Consider the following 22,563-nt stretch of genomic DNA (forward strand, 5'->3'; position numbering starts at 1 on the left):
TATAGGACATTCTGAAAAACACAAAACACTGGAAACAGTAAAAACATCAATGGTTGCCAAGGGTTAAGTGTAGGGAGGGATGAAGAGGAAGAGCACAGAGGATATTTAGGGCAGTGTCAGACTAATCTGTGTGATACTATAATGGTGGATACATGTCATTTAGACATTTATCCAAACCCACAGAATGTACAACACCAAGAGTGAACCCTAGTATAACTGTAGCACTTGCAGTTCAGTGGTAGAACTAGAACTCTCCCCTGCCTAGTGTAAATTGTGGACTTGGTGACAGTGATGTGTCAATGTAGGTTCATTTTAACAAATTTACCACTCTGCTGCAGGATGTTAATAGGGGGTAGGCTGTGCATGTGTCAGGGCAGGAAGTATGTGGGAACTCTGGACTTTCTGCTCAATTTTGCTGTGAATTTAAAACTTCTAGGCCGGGCGCGGTGGCTCATGCCTGTAATCCCAGCACTTTGGGAGGCTGAGGCAGGCGGATCACAAGGTCAGGAGATCGAGACCATCCTGGCGAACACAGTGAAACCCCATCTCTACCAAAAAATATAAAAAATTAGCGGAGCATGGTGGCAGGCGCCTGTAGTCCCCGCTACTCAGGAGGCTGAGGCAGGAGAATGGCATGAACCCGGGAGGCGGAGCTTGCAGTGAGCCGAAATGCGCCACTGCACTCCAGCCTAGGCGACAGAGCAAGACTGTCTCAAAAAAAGAGTCTATTTTTTAAAAACTGTGTTGCAGGAAATTAATGTGTGATAAAGGGTAACTGAAGGGGCCTACTTTAGGTAGGGTGAAAAAGGAAGCTCTCTTCAAGGCTGTTTTCTCATTGATAAAATGGAGGTAACAATATCTGCCTTCACACAGTTGTTAAAGTTCAAATAACATATATATGAAAGGCCCTTTTAAATTGCCAGGTGCAGTGGCTCATGCCTGTAATCCCAGCACTTTGGAAGGCCGAGGCAGGTGGATCACTTGAGGTCAGGAGTTTGAGACCAGCCTGGCCAACATGGCAAAAACGCTGTCTCTACTAAAAATACAAAAATTAGCCAGACGTGGTGGTGTGTGCCTGTAATCCCAGCTACTTGGGAGACTGAGGCAGGAGAATCACTTGAACCCAGGAGGCTGCTGTGAGGCAAGATTGTGCCACTGTACTCTGGCCTAGACAACAGAGCAAGACTCTATCTCAAAAAAAATAATAAAAATAGGCTGGGCTCTGTGGCTCACGCATGGAGAAACCCCTTCACTACTATAACTACAAAATTAGCCTAGCATGGTGGCGCATGCCTGTAATCCCAGCTACTCAGGAGGCTGAGGCAGGAGAATCACTTGAACCTAGGCGGCGGAGGTTGCAGTGAGCCAAGATTGCGCCATTGCACTCCAGCCTGGGCAACAAGAGCGAAATTCCATCTCAAAAATAATAATAATAATATAAATAAATTGCTACGTATCTTCTCATGTGATAAAATATGGAATATTACCTATAATATACTGGTAGGCAGCTCTGAAATAGCTCCCAATGATCTCTGACTGCTGATATTCAGGCCCTTATGTAACTCCCACACTCTGGGCATGGGCTGGGTCTAGTGACTCAATTCTAAGAAATAAAATGCAGCAAAAGTGATCAGATGCCACTTGCAAAATTAGGTTACAAAAAGACTGTGACTTCTATGCGATCTCTCTCTCTCTTCCTTAAAAGTAGGCTGCTGGCCAGGCATGGTGGCTCATGCCTGTAATCCCAGCAGTTTGGGAGGCCAAGGAGGGCAGATCACAAGGTCAAGAGTTCGAGACCAGCCTGACCAACATGGTGAAACCCTACTAAAAATACAAAAATTAGCCAAGCATGGTGGCACACGCCTAATCCCAGCTACTCAGGAGGCTGAGGCAGGAGAATGGCTTCAACCCGGGAGGCGGAGGTTGCATTGAGCTGAGATTGCGCCATTGCACTCCAGCCTGGGCAACAAGAGTGAAACTCCATCTCAAAAAAAAAGACATTTTGGGGCCAACCAGGGAGATTTAAATATAGACTATGATTAGATTAAATGAAAATTGGCCAGGCACAGTGGCTCACGAATGTAATTCCAACACTTTGGGAGGCCGAGACAGGAGGATTGCTTGAGCCCAGGGGTTTGAGACCTGCCCAGGCAACATGGTAAAACCCCATCTCTACAAAAAATAACAAATAAAAAAAACTAACCAGGCATTGTGGCATGTGCCTATAGTCCCTAGCTACTAGGGAGGCTTAGGTGGGAGGATCCACCTGTATTATGCACCTCCCATGTATAATACAAAGGAATGAAATGCTAATCACTGTGGTATCTGGGTGTGGGGGACTTTCAGGGGAGGTCCCAGCGTGCTGAGCCCATGGAAGGTCAGGGTGGACTAGAGTACCCGGCCCACAGGCTGTAATGGAAAAAAACCCAGGAGGTAGATTCTGAAGATCTGGGTCTGAATCCAGATCCGAGCGTTGACTAATTGGCCTTTGAGAAGTCATTTAATCTCAGAAGTGGAAGGGACCTAAGAGGTCTTTCCATGGGTTAGTCACAGGCCAGATGCCAAAACCTAGGCCACTGACCCTGTGCAGGTTCTTTCCACTACGTGCTGCTTCCCTGTTTATGATATTCTTACCCGCAATAACAACTAACTTTGGTACAGCAATTTACATCTCATGAAGCGCAAGTGTTCCTCTTGAGCTCTCACAGAACCTCTTGTTAAGCCACCATCGTTCTTTTCCAGTTTTAAAAGAACTTGGGAGGCCAAGGCAGACGGATCACAAGGTCAGGAGTTCGAGACCAGCTTGACCAACATGGTGAAACGCCGTCTCTACTTAAAATACAAAAAAATTAGCTGGGCGTGGTGGCACACGCCTGTAATCCCAGCTACTCAGGAGGCTGAGGCAGGAGAATTGCTTGAACCTGGGAGGCGGAGCTTGCAGTGGTGAGCCGAGATCACACTCCAGCCTGGGCAACAGTGAGACTCCTTCTCAAAAAAAAATAATAAATAATAAATAAATAAATAATAAGCAACAGGTTGTGGGGGCCAGGCACGGTGGCTCACACCTGTAATCCCAACACTTTGGGAGGCCGAGGCAGGCAGATCACCTGAGGTCAGGAGTTTGAGACAAGCCTGGCCAACATGATGAAACCCCATCTCTACTAAAAATATACAAAATTAGCCCGGTGTGGTGGCACGCACCTGTAGTCCCAGCTACTCGGGAGGCTGAGGCAGGAGGATCCCTTGAACCCAGGAGGTGGAGGTTGTAGTGAGCCAAAATCACTCCACTGCACTCCGGCCTGGGAGACACAGTGAGACTCCAACTCAAAAAAAAAAAAAGAAAAGAAAAGAAACTGAGGCTAGTACAAAGGTAGCAAGCAATCTGAATTGATTGTTCAGAGTCAGATCAAACTCCTTGTTCTACTCTTCCCCCCTTCTCACTATTGCAATTAACTAGTCTTAAAAAAATTTTTTTAAGTAAAAAATAAAAGTAAGAAACTGAGTTTCTGAGATAATAAATGGCTTGCCCACAACCAGCAAATGGCAGAATTAGGACTTGCCCTCTGGTCTTCAGGCTCTAAATCCTGCATTCTTTCCAAGGTACCAGATGAGGCCTGTCTAGGACCGTGACACTAACTGCACTCCTCACACCACACATGCAAGACCTTATTTGCAGGGAAGGGACAGAGGCCTCTCTGCACAGAGCATCCCTGAATGACACTTACCGGTGCTGACTTCAGGTCATTCAAGGAAAAATCCAGACTCCTTCTGGCTCTGTGTTACCCCAGAAGCATATGAGAGTCCAGACCTCCAATCCTGGGAAACCACTCCAGTCAAAAGTCTTCCAGTCTCACTTCCCAACCTGGTTGCAACCAAGTGGTTGCCAGCTCCCTCTGTCCTATGACTACCCTCCTGATCCATCATGAGGGGCCACAAGTCTTTGCCAGCCCACCTCCCTCCACCCCAGGAGGCTTCTCTCCAAGGCCCACTTCCTCAACCTTATTCAGTCCCTGCCTCTCCCCAATACCCTCTTCCCAGGCCCCAAGACTCATACCCCCTTACAGCAGTGAGAAGCACAGTAAGAGGCAATGGTGGGCCCAAGGGGCAGCAGCTGTGAACAGCTAGCACAATGCTGTCTTCAATAATTCATTCCCAGGGAGGTTGCAGGCACCATGCCCTCACCCTGAGCTAGAGATGGCTACCACAGCTCAGATCCTTAAACTGAGAAGGGTGGGAGTCAAGGGTGCGGCAGAGGCTAGTGGGAGCAAGTAGAAAGGTACCCAGCCTGCAGGCCAGACACTGGCACCTCTTTGTTAGAGAGGGGCTCTGATGTGGGCTCAGAGCAGGGATCCCGTGAGATAAAGGAACACGCAAATTGCCATGAGCTAGAGGGGCAGAGAGGAAGAATCCAAACACATTGCCTCACTCCCACTCCCTCCAGCTGTACATGCCAGGGTCAGCCTCTTCCCTCATGGCTCTGACCTTCTCAAGGCCACCCTCAGCCTCTTGTCAGCAGCCCCACCCTCCTAAAGGCCCAAGTCCTCTCTGCTCCAGCTGGCATGTTTCAGCTGCCCCTACTTGGGGAACTCTTTTCCCAAAGAACTCCCACCACATGTGCCTGTAATCTGAGTCAAACATCGCAGAACCTTTTCCAAGGATCCTAACCCCCACCTCCATCTCTTTTCAGCCCAGCTTCCCTGACTAACCTCTGATGTTTACAAAGCTTGTAAACGTGTGGGGGTGGAGGAAGGACTTGAACTGACCCCTTGGGCTGTGCTGTGCTGTGCTGTGATTCAGAGTCCTAAAGCTTTAGGAATTTAGCGAGAGCAGTTCCTTGCTTCTAGTGAGGGAGAGAAGGTGGTAAATTCTAGGCCAGCCCCCACATTCCCCTGGCCACCCTAGAGATCCTGCCATCAATACCCATTCTCCATGTGGGGCAGCCCTAGAGTTCCACTCATGTTCCAGGCTCATTGCTCACTGCAATCCGTTCTGTGAGACTGGAATCACCTATCATGTGCATCAGCAGACCCAGAGGGGAAACTGGGATCTAAGACTAAAAGAAACATATTATCAAGCACCTACTATGTGCTAGGCTGAGCCGGATTCTGGGCAGCAAGAGCATGAAGCCAATCACCTCAGCCCTCTCACCTTCCCCTCCTTCCCAGGTACCAGGAGGAACCTCCAAATGCACACAACAGTCATACTATCTGTCCCAGAGTGAGCAAGAGTTAGGTCTTGAACCCACAGCTGACTCCCCAGTCTGTCCAGAGGCCTGATTTGGGAAGGAGGGTGCGATCTTGCTGGGCATTGTCGCAAGAAACCCTTCAGACATATTTATAGCAAATGCTGCATCAGGGGATGGAATCTGAAAGTGCCTCGAAGCATCAAATAACACCATGAGTCCAGAGGCAGAGCCCAGAAAAAGAAGGCACTGCAGCAGGAGGGATTGAGGTTTGATATTGGAGGAACTTCCCCCAGAGTAATATCTGGAACTGGCAATGGGGATTCCCTGTGGAAGCTACTTCCACAGGATTTTCTCAGAAGAGAAGGGATAGGTACCTTTTTCTGGTCTAGGTAGAAAAGATAAAAAGGGATGGACATGGTGATCTCTATCTTTGTAGTATACAGACTTTCAAATATCAAGGCCACTAAGCACAGTTGTGCAGATTATGCCTTGCTGAGGAGGCAAACGGAGACTGAAATCCAGCTCTAGATCAGTTACCTCCTGCTGCAGAGCTGTGTCTGTACAGACTAGCCAGAGTGGCTTGTAGGGGCCCTGCCAGATATCCCAAGTCCTGACAATCTTGGGGTCTGAGGACAAGGTGAGCAGGGAGAAGGGATGAAGGCTGCCTGGGAAGCCCTGGGGGCCTGTTTGCTAGAGCTCAGAGCCTATATGGGCCAAGTTAGAGGGCATAGCTTCCAGGAATGGATCCAGGGTAGAGGCCCCTCTCAGCAGGGTGCCCTGCCCAGATACTATGAGGTTTGAGCCAGAGATGAAGGCCCTGAGGGAGCTTGAGTGGGGAGGAAGAGGATATGCGTCTTGGGCAGGCCCTGGAGAAGGATAATCCTGCCAGTCACGTCACAGAGAAGGGCCTGGGAGAGGGCAGTTCTGGGGACCTGGAGGATGGGCTGCTGGCTCTAGCTCTGAAGTTCCTACCTTCTCTGCAGAGCAAGATGGAGAAGGGGCCTGTGGTCCAGCAGCTGGGGTGGAAATGAGAAAAGTAAGGGGTGGGGAACTGCCCCTGTGCACCTCAGATTTCCTGTGATAGGCTCATGGAGGAGTAATTTTTTTTTTTTGAGACAGAGACTCTGTCCCCCAGAGTCTGGAGCGCAGTAGGGCGATCTCGGCCTGTCTCCTGAGTTCAAGCAATTCTCTGCCTCAGCCTCCCAAGTAGCTGGGACCACAGGTGTGCACTGCCATGCCCGGCTAATTTTTATATTGTTTGCAGAGATGGGATTTCACCACGTTGGCCAAGCTGGTCTTGAACTCCTAGCCTCAAGTGATCTGCCCGCCTCGGCCTGCCAAAGTGCTGGGATTATAGGCGTGAGCCTCGGCGCCAACCTCAGGGAGAAGTAACTGATATTTCTATTTTAAAGTGGAAGGTGGGCCGGGCACCGTGGCTCACGCCTGTAATCCCAACACTTTGGGAGGCCGAGGCGGGCAGATCGCTTGAGATCAGGAGTTGGAGACCAGCCTGGCCAACATGGTGAAACCTCGTCTTTACTAAAAATACAAAAATTAGCCTGGTGTGGTGGCGTGCCTGTAGCCCCAGCTACTCGGGAGGAGGAGAATCTCTTGAACCCGGGAGGCGGAGGTTGCTGTGGGCCGAGATCGCCACCGCACTGCGACCTAGGCGACAGAGTGAGACTCCGTCTCAAAAATAAATAAATAAATAAATAAAAATAAAGTGGAAGGTGGAGAGATGGTTTCTATGCTATAGTTTCAGGCAGAGAATGTGGAGGGAGGGAAGGAGAGAAGGTTGCGGGAAGCCAGGGACAACTGCTTGCCTGGGCCAACATCCCCTCTCTCCCCACCTCCCTTCTCCTATGGAAACTTAAGCTGCCGCAGGGCCCAGCGGAGCTAGTCCATTAGCTGTGGTCAGCAGGGGAGTGTAGGTGGGGAGGGCCCTCTCTCCCTCCAGGTCTTCTTGCCAAATGAAAGGCAAAGCGTTTGCTCCCTCTACTAGAGTCAAAACAAAACAAAACCATAAAAACCTCCACACGCATTTTTAACACACACAAATAACATAACTTCTTTCCTCTGAATGGTCGAAGCTGAGCAACTTGGAGGTGGGTGGGTGGTAGGGGCTCCGTGACCCACTAGACTAGACTACAGAGGGAGTGGGGGAGGAGGTGCCTTCTCAAAGCACTTTCCAGGTTAAATCCAGCCTCGGGAGGAGGGAGTGGAGAGAGAATTTACTCTCCCCCAACTTACCTCCCTCAGAAATGGGGGCAAGTGGAGGGTCAGCTGAGCAGAGAGGGAGGAACAGTCTCCCGAGATCCCGGGGATGGGAGGATTGAGGGGAGGGGTCCCGGAAACTCCCAGGGGAAGTGGGTTAAAAGAAGGGCCGGGAAGAAGGGTGGGACGCCCTCCACTGGAAAGGGGAGAGCGTTCTAGTTAATGCTGAGGGGAAGTTGGGGACCTGGGTCAATCGGAGTCAGCGTGTGTCTGTCTCCATGAAGGGGGGTCCGTCTCTCCCCGCCCCAGGCGCCGTCTTTGGTCTGGAGAAGGGTCCAGCCTGGGGTCGTTGGGGGTGTGAAGGGACCAATGAGCGGTCTGTCCGCTCAGAAGGGTCCAGAGAGAGAGCCAACTGGAACTACACCCCCGCTCCCCCTTCCCCCGCCAGAACTTGGGCTTGTCCTGTTTGACGCACCCGCAGAAAGGGGCGGGAGGGGTACTGACCCGAGGAGCGGTCCCGCGACTCTGTACTCCCTGCTGCCCAGTCCCGGCCAGGACGCTGCCCGGCTTAGCTGGGGCGCCCCTCGAGACCAGGATGGAGGTAGGGACGGGCTAGGGTCCCGGAAGGGCGCGGGTGTCTCGAAGGAGCCCCACGGGGTGGGAATAAGTAGAGCGCAGCCTGGGGTCTCCTACTGGGGGTCTCGAGCTGGGACTGCAGTTCCTGGAGAAAGGAGGGGGAGAGGGGTTCGTCCTGGGCTTGGGCGGTGTCTGGATCCGGGGTGCGTCCCCCCTGCTCTGGCCTGGGCAGCGCCGCCTGCTGGCAGGGCCGGACCCTGCGGCCCCGGGACCGGACACCAGGCGGTGCCGCCACCTGGAGGGCGCGTGTAGCCGCCGGGCCAGCGAGCCCAAGGGGCGCTGCAGCGGGTCGAGAAGGAGCCGCGTCGCTTCGCCTCGCCCTTCCCCTTCGCGGAGCTGAGACCCGCTGCACCAGAACCCAGGAGAGGGGGGAGACGGCAGAGACTCCGCGGGCGCGGGGCGATCCCAGCTGGGCTCTCTCCACAGGGATGCCGATCCCTCTGGAGACACAGAGCCGAGCCGGGGACGGGTGGATGGGCGCCTTGACGCTTGGGCGGGCGAGCAGAGCACCAGCACTCTTGCTTTTCGGTCCTTTCCCCCGCCGAGGTCGGGGTCGCAGCCGCCGCCGGAGGATGGGCGGCCGGCGCACGGAGCAGGGCCGGGAGGGAGCAGAAGCTTCCGCCAAGAGCTCAGGAGCTGGGGCAGCCCTGGAGCTCTTCCTGCCCTTCTGCCCGCGGCGGCGGAAACTCCAGAGTCCCTACTCTTTCTCGGGAGGACTTTAGGGAAGAAGCAGAGCGGCAGGGGAAGCCGAGGAGCGAGGGTGCGACGTGGGGATGGAAGGACAGTGGGAGGCACACGGAAAAACAGAACGAGGACCTTAGACAGGAGAGACGGAAGTGGAGAGAGGCTGGGCTGAAAGGCAGGGAGAGCCAGAGACTGACAGAGGCGGCGAGAAAGGAAGGGAGAGGGAGGGAGGGAGGAGGGAGGAGAAAGAGGGAGGGAACCAGGGGAGAGGGAAGGGAGCAGGCGGCGGAGCCCGGCGGGCGTGGGGCGAGGCCAGGCGTGCAGGCGGGAGCAGCGTGCAGAGCAGCGGCCGGGTTTTGCTCCCGCCTCGGAGCCCCTGGCCCGGGGGAGGGGGAGAGGCCGCTAGCCTGGTCTATGTCTTTTTCTGACTCCAGTGCAACCTTCCTGCTGAACGAGGTAACCGTGGGGGGGGTGTGGGGTCGTGGGAAGGGGGTTCCCCACTGGGTGGGAGGAGAGCTCCGCTCCAAGCTAGGAAGGGGGCACGCGTTTGGGGGAGACTGCACCGATGGGGAGGCAGGGAAACCGGAGGAAGTGAGGCCAGGGGTGGAAGAGGCACCGGGTTAGAGAGGAGGGAGCGGCCAGAGCTGGCAGCTTCCTAGTACTGGGATTGGATGAGAGGAGAGGACTGACTGAGGAGCCAGAAAAAAAGGGGCTAGATTACAAGAAGGGCTCTGCCAAGCTCCCCTAGCGCCTGTCCCTGAGTTCCCTGGCAGCCTAGCAGCCAGAATGGTAGGGGCCTCCACCTGGTCCAGATCTTAAAAACTGCTGGGGAGGAGTCTTTAAGTCTTCCCAGAAGGCCTAGCTTCTGTCTCAGTTTCCCCATTCAGTGCCCAGGGACTGGGATCTGCCCAGCTTCCTGGTACACTTAGAGGAGAAGCTAGAATATATTCTGAAACCTCCCAAGAAGGTTTCAATATATTCCAGCTCCCAAACCTGATTATTCAGGCTTTTCCTCTTATGTCTTGCTTCTATGACTTGGGTACCTGCCAGCTGCCAGTCTAACAACTCTCTCCTAGAAAGAATCAGCAGGAGGAGCCTCTCCCCTGATCCTTTATTGCCCTCAGCTCTCTCCCTTTATGCCCAGCCATGAAAAAGAAAAGAGGTTAGGGCTACATGGACACTGACAGGCACATGTCCTGTCACAGGACAAGAAGTCACCAAGTTGGTATTAGAACTAGAGTAGGCAGGTGTGGGTGAGAAATGAAAGGAACATTGGGTAGCAACCCAGAGATATGAGAAGAAGGAGGGAAGCTCTGAAGCTACTGCAGGACCCAGGGGATGGGCCCAGGTATGAGGAGCTTGAACCCATCTCCTGGGGATGGTTGGCATGGCAACACATGCCTCAGGAGCAGACTTAGACAACCTTGTCGCAGGAGATTACAAGGAGTGTGAGGAAGGAGTGCTGCCGATGGCAGATCCGCTGTTACCTACAGCCCCAGGACCTTCTGTGGGTGGAGAGAGTCCCAAAAGGAGAGGCCAGGAGAGTGGATGCAGGGATGGGAAGAGAAACAGCTGCCTCCACCACTGCTTTCTTCACTAGAGCCATCTCCCAGGAGAAGAGCACCTTGAGGGTCTTACTCTTTGACACCTCTCCAGGCCCCTGAAAGAAGGAATTGAAGAGAAAGGATGAAAGAGGGGGATACAAGGAATACTGCGTAACTGGGTGAGGGCACAAAAGTGGGCAGTGTCTGGGAACTTCCAATACAGAAGAATCCAGTATATGACCAAACCCCAGTTGGTGCTGGACTCAGGAGAGGAGACAGTCCCTTCAGCCACAGGGGCTGCAACAAAGTTGTTTGTCAAACCCAGCATGAGGAAGGTGCTGGGCAGGGCTGCTCTGGGCCACCCACAGTAGACAGACTAAAGATGTCAGTCTGAAGATGCAGCTCTTCTTTGTCTTGCCAAGATAACACCGATAAGTGACCCAGGTGGGAAGCCACTTGGTTTGGGTGGGCTTTCTCTCTCCCATGCACAGTGCTTTCTACCATAGATCTTACTAAGCCATGTCAGAGTTTTGGATTTCTGATTCTCCTCAAGCCAAGGAGGGATGAGCAGATTGCTGAACTCCCGGGTGTGAGAAATTGGGAAGGAAAAGGACTGAGCTCAGGGCCAAGAGCATGGGCACCAGGAGGCCTCCAAGTGTAACCCCTGTCTACGCACATCCTCCTCGTGGGGCACAAAGGTAGGCAGTCAAAAATCAAAGAAGGAATTTTGCTCAGGAGATGAAAAAAGGAAAGAGCTCAAATGGGTGGATCTTTGGGGAAAGTTTCCTCAAGATAAGGGCTGCGGCTCTCTTACCCCAAATCTCAATGCTCCTGTAAAGGAGACTGAGTGGTGCAGAGTGGTACAAGCCCTTCTGCTAAGGGGAGAATCTGGCCTTACCCTAGTGACTCCGAGGAGACTGGCCCTTTCCTCTCCCAACCCGAGTGTAGCCAGGATCCCACCCACAACTATCCCCCTACCTCCACCCTCTGGCTTCTTTCCCCTTCCCTTTAGGCTCACCTAAAACAGCCCCTTTCTGCCCCAGTTCCCACGGATGCCTTGGCACTGTCTGGCACAATCCTTGGCAGGGAAGTGGGGAAGGGAACCCCCATCCTGGCAGGACTAAGACAAAATCTATCCGTGCAACAGGTGTGGGGAGGCCTACCCAGCTCACGGAAAGTTCCCCCCTTCTCAAGGGTTGGGCAACACCGCCTTTGCCGCAGCGTCCCCGTACTGAGGGGGCCGGGCACCTGTTGGGGCAGGAGCTGCCGTCCTGTCATTAGCCTGGGGGCACCAAGCCCATTCCTCCCCGGGACCACTGCGGGGTTTGCTTTCGGAGCCTCCGGGACGCACGGGCCCAGACCCGCCCTGCTGTCGCCTGGGACCCCTCCCCCGTCTGCCGCTCGTTCCCGCGCCTCTTCTGTCTCCCACGGTCTCCCCATTTTCCTGTCCTCTCCGTCCTCCCTCTGCCTCTCTCTCTCCGGTTTCCTCGACACCTGCGCCCTCTCCAGTCTCCGCCCGGGTCGCGTCTCCCTCGCGGTCTCAGCGCCCCCTCCCTCCCCCGCCGCAGCCCTTTGTTTCCCGGCGGAGTAGTTCCTGGGTTGCCGAGCGTCTCTGTCTCCGCATCTCTCCTCGCCCCGCCTCCTCCCTGCCTGGATCCGCCCTGCCCGCAGCCTCTCCTCCCCTTCCTCCCCGCCGCCACGGCCCCGTAGGTGCTCGGGGACCCACCTTCCACCTAGCACGGGTTCGTTCCCCTCTCCCGGCCTGGCCCGGGCTCCCCGGTGGCCGCCGCCCCCTCGCCGCCCCCGCCTTCTCCCGGGGAGGGGGTCAGGTGGGCGGGCACTATTGTTGTAGGAGCCGGCGCCAGATTCCTCAGCCGCGCTCGGGGTGGGACCGGCTGGGTTTGGGGGGGTGGGGTGGGGGGAGCGGTGATCTGAGCTCCGAGCAGCTGGTCTTCGCGGCTCGCTCCCTCCTTCGCGCTCTCTCGCTCCCTGCCGCCGCCCGCAGGGCTGCGGGGCTCGGTGGCATCTCCCGGGCGCGGCCCGCAGTCCTTGCCCCTGCCTCCGGGCCGCTCCCGCCCCCGGCGCCGCTCGCTCCCCCGACCCGGACTCCCCCATGTATGACGACTCCTACGTGCCCGGGTTTGAGGACTCGGAGGCGGTGAGTGCCCACGATGAGGGTGGGGGCGGGGAAGTTGGGGTGACACCTCCTCTCCCTTCAACCCTTTCCCCGGTTCAGGACTTTGAAAAACGCCTCAGTGGCAGGGCAGGGTTTGTAGGGGGGCGCTCTAAGAACGTGGGGAGATGGATTTTCATGCCAAGCGTTCCCCAGCGACCCAGACTCAGACCCTGGGGCATCGGGTGTGTGCAGAGAGGGGGCAGTATAGGGGAAGGGCTCAAGCAGGTGGCTCCACGGCCCAGGAAAGAGGGGTGGGAGAAGGCAGGGCTGGAGGCCGAGGGCACAGAGGCTCTGGAGAGGGAACACGCCATGTCTGGAGTTCCAAATTCTGGATTTCTGGGGTCTGAACACAACAGCTAGGAGAGCCGCCGAGGTGGTTGGGGAGGCAGACATTCTAGACCTCTTGTGCCTCAAGCAAACGACACATCAGGGAGCTGAGAGGACATCAGGGAGCCAGGGGCCAACCTCTTCAGACAGACGGATCCTAAAACTTGAGGAGCTCCATTATTCCCTTCCACCCCCTCCATCTCTGCGCATTGCCTCATCTCCTCACCCTTTCTCTAGCCCAGTTTCTCTCCCAGGCTGAAACCTGGGCGCCCAGCACATGGGTAGGCCAGGTGACTGAGCCCCATCTATTCCACAGCCCCCTGCTGAGGCTTCCTCTGCAGCGGGCATCCTGAGCTCTTGCCCAGCATGGAGGGCCTGGAGGTGAGGCCAGAGGAGCTGAGGGCCTGGGGATGGAGAGGAAGCGCTTTGCTCAGAGAAACAGGCAACCGATAAATATTTAATTCTCCTCTTTGCTTTTATCTCCTGACCCACTGAGACAAATCAGCTCATTAAGCAGTGATTCCCGGAGCTCAGACAGCAGGGAGAGTGCCTGGAAAGATGGGGCAAGAATGCGGAGCAGCTTCTCAGCCCCTTGGAGCTGACAACTTTCCCTCAAATGTCCTGTAAGAAGGCCTCCTTAGGAGTGGACCACTAGATGGCTTGGAAGGGGCCCCAATAGGTTGGAGCACCCCTGGGTCGGAAAGAGGAGTTCATGTTCAAGTCTTCTCCCATCACTTACTGCCAGGCCCAGGATAGATGAATGCTGATGTTCAGAATAGGCAACTGTCCTTTTCTGGGACTGGTCTCCTTCTGGGCCCAATTCTCCATGGGGCCTCTGGGGCTAATTACATTGCCGCTAGATCAGATCATTTTCAAGGCTCTGGTGGACACCTCTTTCTGACAGTTGAAGGGACAGCTGGTATAGCCCAGGGTGCCAAGGTGAGCTTGAAAACAAACCTCTCTGTGGGGCTGGATGGCCCTAGGAGGTTCTTCCCATCCCTGGTGAGAAGGCAAGGGCTATTGCAAGGAGCAGACTGACATGTGGATGGTGTTGGAGGGCAGCCTGCTGACCCATTGCTCCCTCCCATCTCTCTCTGGCTCTGATCACCCTCCCCCACTTCCCTTTCTCTTGCCTGGCTCCTTGCTCTCCCTGAGGCCCCCTCTGAAGCAGTAGGAGGGAGATCAGGCTCTAAATAAATCCAACGGCTCATCTCCCTCCTCTCCTTCCCCCGTGCCAGGCAAGAGAGGAGCTGCAGCCTGCCCACACACTCACTAGGCAAGGGGGGCACCACCAGGGCACTGTGCCAACTCCTGGCAGCTCCAAAGTACTGAAACTCTGGCTATTTTGGCGTAGCAGGGTACAGGAAAGGTAAGACCCTAGATCATGCTTGGCAGGGCAGCCCTGGCCTCCCCAAGTAATACTGGAGCACTAGAGATGAGTGAGCCTGGAGGACTTGGGAGTAATGGAGAGGGGGTTCCATTCTGAGCACAACTCATTAAATATTTAGGAAGAGATCCTGTGATTCCCATCCCAGGGTGAGAGGTCAGGTAAGCCAGATGCCTCAGGCGTTATGATTACTAAATTAGGCCGCCAGCGGTGCCTCACACCTGTAATCCCAGCACTTTGGGTGGCCGAGGTAGATCACTTGAGGTCAGGAGTTGGAGACCAGCCTGGCCAATATGGTGAAACCCTGTGTCTACTAAAAATATAAAAATTAGCCCAGCATGGTGGCACATGCCTGTAGTCCCAACTACTCAGGAGGCTGGGGCAGTAGAATTGCTTGAACCCGGGAGGCAGAGGTTGCAGTGAGCCGACATCGCACCATTACATTCCAGCCTGGGCATCACAGTGAAACTCCATCTCAAAAAAAAAAAAAAAATTACTAAATTAAACCAGGCATAGAGACTCATGCCTATAATCCCAATGCTTTGGGAGGCTAAGGTAGGAAGATGGCTTAAGCCCAGGAGTTTGAGACCAGCCTAGGCAACATAGCAAGATCCTGTCTCTACAAAAAACTAGTAGGCATGGTAGCGCATGCCTGTAGTCGTAGCTACTCAGGAGACAGGAGGATCGCTTGAGCCCAGGAGTTCAAGCCTGCAGTGAGCTACGATTGTGCCACTACACTCCAGCCTGGGTGACAGAGCAAGACCTGTCTCTAAGTAAATAAATAAAATAATAAAAATAAAGATTACTAAATTGGGCTGAGAGCCTGGAGCACAGGCAGAAAAGGTCAGACTCCTCTTTTAGCACAGTTCTGGGCCTCTGGGAGGTACCCAATGTATCTGTACCAAAGCGAGTGGTCATCTGCCTTGCCTCCTGCCTCCCAGTCTGTTGGCCCCTGTCTGGTTGCTTCAGACACCAACATCCCACAGAGGTTTCTCTTGTGTCCTAAGACCCCTGGGAAGGAGGTCCCTCACCCTGTGCAAAGATTATTTCTGGGGTTCATCCCCCACTTATCCTGCTGCCATCCAGCCTCATTTTGTTCTCAGGAGAGATGAGGAACAGTCGGCGGACTACTCTTCTGTAAAATGAAAGATCTTTCCCCCTTGTGCTATCTTCAGGCCTTTGGTCTACTATAGACACTGTCTTTAGCCTAAGGCTCGAGAGCCTGGGCTGACCCCTAGCTGAACAGCCCTCTTGCCCACGGCAGGGTAGGGGTAGAGGGCATGGTTGACAGCAGGTATGTGATTTTGCCTTCTTCTCTGAGAGTCTGGCCTCTGCTGCCTTCCGTAGGTGGTCATGCCCAGTGAGCTTGAGAGAATGTTCCTCTACCTGAGGACATTCTAAAGCCCCTTCCCCTATACACACACACACTCCTGCATGAACCCCTTATCTAGGCTTATCCCTTCTCTCTGCCACTGGCATCTCAGAATTGTGGGAAGTATCACTTGAGGCTTCTCCCCACAGAGAGGGAAAACTGAGGCAGGAAACGAAAGACTCCCTTTCCCTGACAGAGGAGGAAACCCAGACATTGTAACCTCTGGGCTCTTGTCTCAAAGTCCAGCGTCCCTTACTCATTTGTGCCTCTCCCTCATGGTCTTGAGGCTGAACTCTGTGACCGTCAAATGCACCCTCATTGCCCAAGACCTTTCCTATGGGCAGGACTCAGAGACTCTCCTTGCTCATGTTACCCCCTCCCCACATCCCCGGGGTCCTGCTCCGTAGCTAGGTTGCCTGGCACTAGCATAGCCTTCTTCTAGGGCTGATGTCCCCTGGGCCTGGGAAAGGACTAGGGAGATGTAGGCCAAGTGGTAGGTGTGGCCCAGCCTCACCTGCACCCAGGGAGACAGCTTTGTGTTCTTGGTCTGTGTCTTGTTTGCTGCCCACACCTGGCTAGTTGCCCCAGCAGGTGTGGAAGGAAGAAAAGTAGGGGGTGGGGAGAGCAAAGGGGAGGTAACTTCTAGGAGCTGGCAGCTTTGTGTCCTCCTCTTCACCCTGGAAGGGTAAGGGCTCACCATTTGGGAGCCTTCAGAGCCTTGTTGGAGTAGGGAAAGTGGAATCTTAGGGGGCAGATGGCTGGATCCCCACATTCAGGACTGGTGCTGTGCCAACCAGCATCTCTTGACTGTTGCGGCTGGCTGGACTCCTGACAGGCATCTTAAAGGGATGATGTCCAGGCTGCTTTGCAGGCTGCTATGAACAAGAGGGCTGGGTCTCCTGGATCCAGAATCATCTCTAATACATCATCTTCAGCACACCTCCCTTCCCTCGGCTCAGAGGACATGTTAGAGGGGAGAAAAGGGAGGAAAGAGAGAAGTGAAGGCTCTATTCAAAGCTGCAGTATTAATAGGCTTGGGGGAGGAGGGGCCCAGATCTTTGCACCTATGGATTGGGCCAGCTTTCCTGTAGCCTCAGAGGCACTGGGGCCCTTCTCAGGGGATAGGAGGGGCCATAGGGACCCAGCTATCCCCTTGGAGATGGAGAAACTGGGGGCAATAGAGGCAACACTGTAAGGTGAGGAGGGTGCCTCCATGGCATCCTTCATGCCGGAGCCTGGGAGTCACAGCCTCTTTCCCAACCCAGGGTTCAGCCGACTCCTACACCAGCCGCCCATCTCTGGACTCAGACGTCTCCCTGGAGGAGGACCGGGAGAGTGCCCGGCGTGAAGTAGAGAGCCAGGCTCAGCAGCAGCTCGAAAGGGCCAAGGTATACTTTCTGGGCATGGGGCAAGACAGGAGGCCAAGCTAGGTGGAAACCTGCACTCGGTCCTAAGTCCCAAGGGGTCCTTGGGCAGGATGTCCTTGAGTGTGAGAGGGTGTGTGTGATGGGCAGAGGCCACGGCCTTCTGCTGTTGGGGCACTGAAGCTGGAAGGGGTGCTTCGAGCCTTCTCTCACTTGCACTAATGGGCAAATTCTCCAGCACAAACCTGTGGCATTTGCGGTGAGGACCAATGTCAGCTACTGTGGCGTACTGGATGAGGAGTGCCCAGTCCAGGGCTCTGGAGTCAACTTTGAGGCCAAAGATTTTCTGCACATTAAAGAGGTGATCGACCCCCCTACTTCCAGAAGCCTCTAACTTCATTTTCTTGCTCTTGCTCCAGATCCTAATGCTTCTGACTTGAATCCTCAGTCTAATTCCCCAAGCTAATCAGCTCTTCTCCTTAACACACACCTGTCCACCCCTCATATCTAAGATCTCATCCCCAGGGTCTCCATCCTTCTGAGACCTGGCTTGGGCATCAGTCTCCATGTCTGTCAAGTGAGCAGTTAGATTAGCTGCCTCCGAGGTCCCCTGTGACAGCTGCAATGCCTCACTCAGAAATCCTGGGTGGCCCGAACTTGGCTGTCCTTTCCCCTGGCCCCTTCTGCCCACCGCCCCTTGCATTGCATTCCTCAGACCAGCTCAGTGACTGCCTCGCTGGCTCCTTCACATTGAAGAGCCAGGACTGGGGCGGGGCGCTTCTCTCACCACCCCTTCCTGCTCCACCTGCCCCCAGAAGTACAGCAATGACTGGTGGATCGGGCGGCTAGTGAAAGAGGGCGGGGACATCGCCTTCATCCCCAGCCCCCAGCGCCTGGAGAGCATCCGGCTCAAACAGGAGCAGAAGGCCAGGTGAGAGTTGGGCCATGAGTCAGTAAACACACCCCAAACACTTGCACTGTACCCACAGGACACGTCACCATGCATGCCATACACATGCATATCCCCCTGAAATACACATACACGTATGCCCAGCTCTACACACTCAACACTAAACAAATCTACAAACACACACACATATTGCATGTACACCTGTCTCACTAGATAAAGCATATGGAATTGTGTACAATTATTAAATAATGCATAGAACATACATACACAGAGACACATTCTTCTCTCTCTCTCTTTCACCTCCCTTTCTTCTCAGGAGATCTGGGAACCCTTCCAGCCTGAGTGACATTGGCAACCGACGCTCCCCTCCGCCATCTCTAGGTAGCCTCCCCCCAACCCACCCATTTTGGGTAGGTGGGTAGCTAAGACACAGGGAAAGAGGGGATCCTGCCCAAGTGAACTGTGTGGGAAGGGTTTGTGGAGGGATTGGAAGGGGTGGGGAGAAGCCAGTATCTCCCCTGGGGACGGGGATACCATGCCCCCAGGGACCTTTCCCCCTTCACCAACTTTAATCTTGTATTTCCTTTTCCAAAAAGCCAAGCAGAAGCAAAAGCAGGTGAGTCAAGGAAGGGACCTGGGCTGGGGGGATCATGGCTTATGGCTCTGGGGACAGTGTTCTAGGCAGTCATTGTTGGAGGGCAGAACAGAGAGGGGAGGGAGCCCAGAACCTCTGGATCTGCCCTGACGCCAACCAGGCATGAGACAGGCACCAGGGCCATGGTTTCTACTGACCTCATGTCCATTCTGCAGGCGGAACATGTTCCCCCATATGACGTGGTGCCCTCCATGCGGCCTGTGGTGCTGGTGGGACCCTCTCTGAAAGGTTATGAGGTGAGAGGAGGTCCTTGACCCCAAAGAGTCACCTCTACCAAGCCTGCCACAGGAAGTCCCTAGGGAAAGTGGAAGGGGTGTGTCTCCTCCGTCCAGGGTGTGTATGTGGAGCGCATTGACTCTGGGGCCATGCATGGGGAGGCTGCTTCTCTCCAAAGGGGCCCTTCATCAGTGCCATGCCTTCCCCCAGGTCACAGACATGATGCAGAAGGCTCTCTTCGACTTCCTCAAACACAGATTTGATGGCAGGTAAGCTGCCCTGGCCTGAGGTGGCCTGAGAACCAAGGAGAAGCTCATGGCCTACTTCCAGATGCCTGTAGCTAGTCTTCTCTAAGGGAAGAGTTAGTGGGAGCTGAGTAAGGAGAGGCTGAGGCACAGGTTTAGAAGCAAGCTGTGATTCTCCACTCCCACCCCAGGATCTCCATCACCCGAGTCACAGCCGACCTCTCCCTGGCAAAGCGATCTGTGCTCAACAATCCGGGCAAGAGGACCATCATTGAGCGCTCCTCTGCCCGCTCCAGCATTGGTGAGAAGTCCCCACCACCTGCTTCTGTGCCCACTCAAGTGCCAGTGAGAACCTTCCTCCTCCCTTTTCTTTTTTTTGAGATGGAGTCTCGCTCTGTCACCTAGGCTGGAGTGCAGTGGTGAGATCTCGGCTCACTGCAACCTCCACCTCCTGGGTTCAAGCGATCTTCCCATCTCAGCCTCCTGAGTAGCCGGGACTACAGGCGCCCATCACCACGCCCAGCTAATTTTTGCATTTTTAGTAGACGTGGGGTTTCACCATGTTGGCCAGGCTGGTCTCGAACTCCTGACCTCAAGTGATCGGCCCACCTTGGCCTCTCAAAATGCTGGGATTACAGGCATGAGCCACCATGCCTGGCCCCTCTTCCCTTTTCTCTTCCTTACCTCCTTGTCTTTCTGCCCAACTCCTCTACCTGCCCCCAGGATTGGCAAGAACACACCCCTCCTCCTCAATTCCCATTCCTCTGCCTGTCCAGGCTTCGATGAATGCCCTTTTCCTCCAATTCCTTCCTGTCCACCATTCGGGAGCCCTCAAAGCCTGCTGGAGTGAGCAGTGGGCAGAGCTCCTGGTGAGCACTGCTGCTGCCTCCCTCCATAGCGGAAGTGCAGAGTGAGATCGAGCGCATATTTGAGCTGGCCAAATCCCTGCAGCTAGTAGTGTTGGACGCTGACACCATCAACCACCCAGCACAGCTGGCCAAGACCTCGCTGGCCCCCATCATCGTCTTTGTCAAAGTGTCCTCACCAAAGGTAAGTCAGCTGGGCTCATGGAGGAGGCCCACAGGGCTATCCTACTAGAATGTGGCATGATTCTACTTGGTCCCTGCCTGGGGCACCTGAGTTCCCTTTTCCTGCTGCCCTTAACACAACTCTGAGTCATCCTCACCTGCTACTGATGCCACAAGTGGAAGAAATGCCTAGCTCTGCCCGGGCTCAGCTCTGCCCAGAGTCCTGAGAGACTCCAGGCCTAGCTCTGCCCTCCCCGCTCAGGTACTCCAGCGTCTCATTCGCTCCCGGGGGAAGTCACAGATGAAGCACCTGACCGTACAGATGATGGCATATGATAAGCTGGTTCAGTGCCCACCGGTGAGTGCCTGGGTCAGCTGCTCCTGTGCCCACTCCCCCAGGGCTGCGGCAGTGATAGAGATGGGTGGGGGGCTGCTACTGAGGGGAAACCAACGTTGCGCCTTCCTCCCCCTCCCCAGGAGTCATTTGATGTGATTCTGGATGAGAACCAGCTGGAGGATGCCTGTGAGCACCTGGCTGAGTACCTGGAGGTTTACTGGCGGGCCACGCACCACCCAGCCCCTGGCCCCGGACTTCTGGGTCCTCCCAGTGCCATCCCCGGACTTCAGGTAACCATTTCCAGTGGGCAGAGATGCTCAAGCTAAGCCAGCCAAGGCACTGCCCCTCCCTGCCCAGAGGACTGTCCTTGGCCTCCAGTTCAGCATGCCAAAGGATTGTAGAACTCTCAGCTCTGCTGTACAGAGCTAGCACAGACGGGCAAAGGAACTTCCTGAGGAGAGAGGGAATCAATCAATGAGATGGATACGTCAGAGATTAGTTTCCTAGGGGTCAAGAGAAACACAATCTCCAAACCTTCTCCCAGGCTGCCTTGAAGGCAGAGCCTGAATTTTGCGGGAGTCGAAGCTCCAGTTTTCTCTCTCGGAAGAGGAAAAATGCTCCAGCATGCTTTTTCCTTGCACTATTTCCTTTACCGGGGAATTGAGAGTTGAGGGGGGAAGAATCTCGCACCTCACCAGAAGACAAGGTGAGGTCTGTACTGCCTCACTGAGAGCTGTTGTATGGCCCCCAGAACCAGCAGCTGCTGGGGGAGCGTGGCGAGGAGCACTCCCCCCTTGAGCGGGACAGCTTGATGCCCTCTGATGAGGCCAGCGAGAGCTCCCGCCAAGCCTGGACAGGATCTTCACAGCGTAGCTCCCGCCACCTGGAGGAGGACTATGCAGATGCCTACCAGGACCTGTACCAGCCTCACCGCCAACACACCTCGGGGCTGCCTAGTGCTAACGGGCATGACCCCCAAGACCGGCTTCTAGCCCAGGACTCAGAGCACAACCACAGTGACCGGAACTGGCAGCGCAACCGGCCTTGGCCCAAGGATAGCTACTGACAGCCTCCTGCTGCCCTACCCTGGCAGGCACAGGCGCAGCTGGCTGGGGGGCCCACTCCAGGCAGGGTGGCGTTAGACTGGCATCAGGCTGGCACTAGGCTCAGCCCCCAAAACCCCCTGCCCAGCCCCAGCTTCAGGGCTGCCTGTGGTCCCAAGGTTCTGGGAGAAACAGGGGACCCCCTCACCTCCTGGGCAGTGACCCCTACTAGGCTCCCATTCCAGGTACTAGCTGTGTGTTCTGCACCCCTGGCACCTTCCTCTCCTCCCACACAGGAAGCTGCCCCACTGGGCAGTGCCCTCAGGCCAGGATCCCCTTAGCAGGGTCCTTCCCACCAGACTCAGGGAAGGGATGCCCCATTAAAGTGACAAAAGGGTGGGGTGTGGGCACCATGGCATGAGGAAGAAACAAGGTCCCTGAGCAGGCACAAGTCCTGACAGTCAAGGGACTGCTTTGGCATCCAGGGCCTCCAGTCACCTCACTGCCATACATTAGAAATGAGACAATCAAAGCCCCCCCAGGGTGGCACACCCATCTGTTTGCTGGGGTGTGGCAGCCACATCCAAGACTGGAGCAGCAGGCTGGCCACGCTCGGGCCAGAGAGAGCTCACAGCTGAAGCTCTTGGAGGGAAGGGCTCTCCTCACCCTGCCAGGAAGCTTCTTAACATGTGACAGGACCAGGGACCAGGAGCATGGTGAAGCCAAGTGGCAGATGGGAGCCAACCTGGATGGGGGTTTGGGGAAGGAGGGCATGTGTAGCAGAGAACTTAGGGGGGCCTCCTTGCCTTTCTCATTCTTTTGCCCTGCATCCTGTCATTTCTGTTCTTGTCCCTCATACATCTTTGGAGAACCGGGCTCCAGACTTTGTTCCCTGACTCATAGCTGCCGCTTGTTAGGTTAGGGTTAGATGGGGAGAGACAGGGCACAGAGGACCTGTCTCCCCGGCTACTCTTGCCTTATGGCTCTAGTGTGTGACCTACAGAGCATGCTCCACAAGCCCCTGCCTCACCTCACTGTCATCACTAATAAACATCATGCACAGTCCCTCCGGCTTCTGTTCTGTCTGTGATGCGGCCCAAAGTCTGGTGGAGGGAAAGATGTGTTTGGGCCGCCCTTCTCTCAGAGGATCTGTCCAGCGGGAAGGGGACAAAGGCAGAGCTGGGGAGGCACTCCACTCCCAGGCATCCCCACTCCTCATGCCCAGGTGTCAAGAGGGAGA

General features: G+C 55.1%; 1 protein-coding gene and 1 long non-coding RNA gene across 11 annotated transcripts, besides 6 other annotated features; one reads left to right on the forward strand and one right to left on the reverse strand.

Moving 5' to 3' along the window:
- On the reverse strand, nucleotides 7,209–10,379 carry LOC101927241 (uncharacterized). The gene is made up of 3 exons (XR_245978.4): nucleotides 10,207–10,379; nucleotides 7,904–8,120; nucleotides 7,209–7,739 (listed from the first exon to the last, which is right to left on the reverse strand). It is a non-coding gene; the product is annotated as an uncharacterized LOC101927241 (long non-coding RNA).
- On the forward strand, nucleotides 7,927–22,388 carry CACNB3 (calcium voltage-gated channel auxiliary subunit beta 3). 10 transcript variants are annotated; one of them, XM_047429525.1, is made up of 15 exons: nucleotides 7,927–8,000; nucleotides 10,320–10,961; nucleotides 11,832–12,421; nucleotides 16,791–16,913; nucleotides 17,128–17,250; nucleotides 17,705–17,820; nucleotides 18,116–18,180; nucleotides 18,396–18,415; nucleotides 18,610–18,690; nucleotides 18,881–18,939; nucleotides 19,107–19,216; nucleotides 19,814–19,965; nucleotides 20,206–20,301; nucleotides 20,421–20,570; nucleotides 21,032–22,388. In XM_047429525.1, exons 3-15 carry the CDS (start codon nucleotides 12,377–12,379, stop codon nucleotides 21,344–21,346), a joined length of 1,455 nt encoding a protein of 484 aa, XP_047285481.1. In that variant the 5' UTR covers nucleotides 7,927–8,000; nucleotides 10,320–10,961; nucleotides 11,832–12,376; the 3' UTR covers nucleotides 21,347–22,388. The 10 variants fall into 10 exon arrangements, with proteins under 10 accessions (XP_047285481.1, NP_001193846.1, NP_001193845.1 ...); NM_001206917.2 differs by lacking the exons at nucleotides 10,320–10,961; nucleotides 11,832–12,421; NM_001206916.2 differs by lacking the exons at nucleotides 7,927–8,000; nucleotides 10,320–10,961; nucleotides 11,832–12,421 and adding an exon at nucleotides 9,021–9,175.
- Nucleotides 8,003–8,504: an enhancer, noted in NCBI's record as "H3K27ac hESC enhancer chr12:49208339-49208840 (GRCh37/hg19 assembly coordinates)". NCBI's record gives its function as "activates a minimal SCP1, AML or CMV promoter by ChIP-STARR-seq in naive H9 embryonic stem cells {active_cell/tissue: H9 hESC(naive)}" and the evidence as "EXISTENCE:reporter gene assay evidence [ECO:0000049][PMID:30033119]".
- Nucleotides 8,095–8,354: a silencer, noted in NCBI's record as "silent region_4411". NCBI's record gives its function as "represses an Ori minimal core promoter by ATAC-STARR-seq in GM12878 lymphoblastoid cells {active_cell/tissue: GM12878}" and the evidence as "EXISTENCE:reporter gene assay evidence [ECO:0000049][PMID:35858748]".
- Nucleotides 8,505–9,004: an enhancer, noted in NCBI's record as "H3K27ac hESC enhancer chr12:49208841-49209340 (GRCh37/hg19 assembly coordinates)". NCBI's record gives its function as "activates a minimal SCP1, AML or CMV promoter by ChIP-STARR-seq in naive H9 embryonic stem cells {active_cell/tissue: H9 hESC(naive)}" and the evidence as "EXISTENCE:reporter gene assay evidence [ECO:0000049][PMID:30033119]".
- Nucleotides 8,505–9,034: a biological region, named in NCBI's record as "H3K27ac hESC enhancer GRCh37_chr12:49208841-49209340".
- Nucleotides 8,955–9,034: a silencer, noted in NCBI's record as "silent region_4412". NCBI's record gives its function as "represses an Ori minimal core promoter by ATAC-STARR-seq in GM12878 lymphoblastoid cells {active_cell/tissue: GM12878}" and the evidence as "EXISTENCE:reporter gene assay evidence [ECO:0000049][PMID:35858748]".
- Nucleotides 11,741–12,210: a silencer, noted in NCBI's record as "silent region_4413". NCBI's record gives its function as "represses an Ori minimal core promoter by ATAC-STARR-seq in GM12878 lymphoblastoid cells {active_cell/tissue: GM12878}" and the evidence as "EXISTENCE:reporter gene assay evidence [ECO:0000049][PMID:35858748]".

The sequence above is a fragment of the Homo sapiens genome, chromosome 12, assembly GCF_000001405.40.
Source record: "Homo sapiens chromosome 12, GRCh38.p14 Primary Assembly".
In the NCBI taxonomy this organism is placed as follows: domain Eukaryota; kingdom Metazoa; phylum Chordata; class Mammalia; order Primates; family Hominidae; genus Homo; species Homo sapiens.

What these genes read in the sequence shown, in the direction of transcription:
- CACNB3 (XM_047429525.1), top strand. Translation starts at nt 12,377, where the DNA reads ATGTATGACGACTCCTACGTGCCCGGGTTTGAGGACTCGGAGGCG. An exon ending in ATTTTCTGCACATTAAAGAG is followed by an intron (nt 17,251 to 17,704) that starts GTGATCGACCCC and finishes ACCTGCCCCCAG; the next exon opens with AAGTACAGCAATGACTGGTG. An exon ending in AAACAGGAGCAGAAGGCCAG is followed by an intron (nt 17,821 to 18,115) that starts GTGAGAGTTGGG and finishes CTTTCTTCTCAG; the next exon opens with GAGATCTGGGAACCCTTCCA.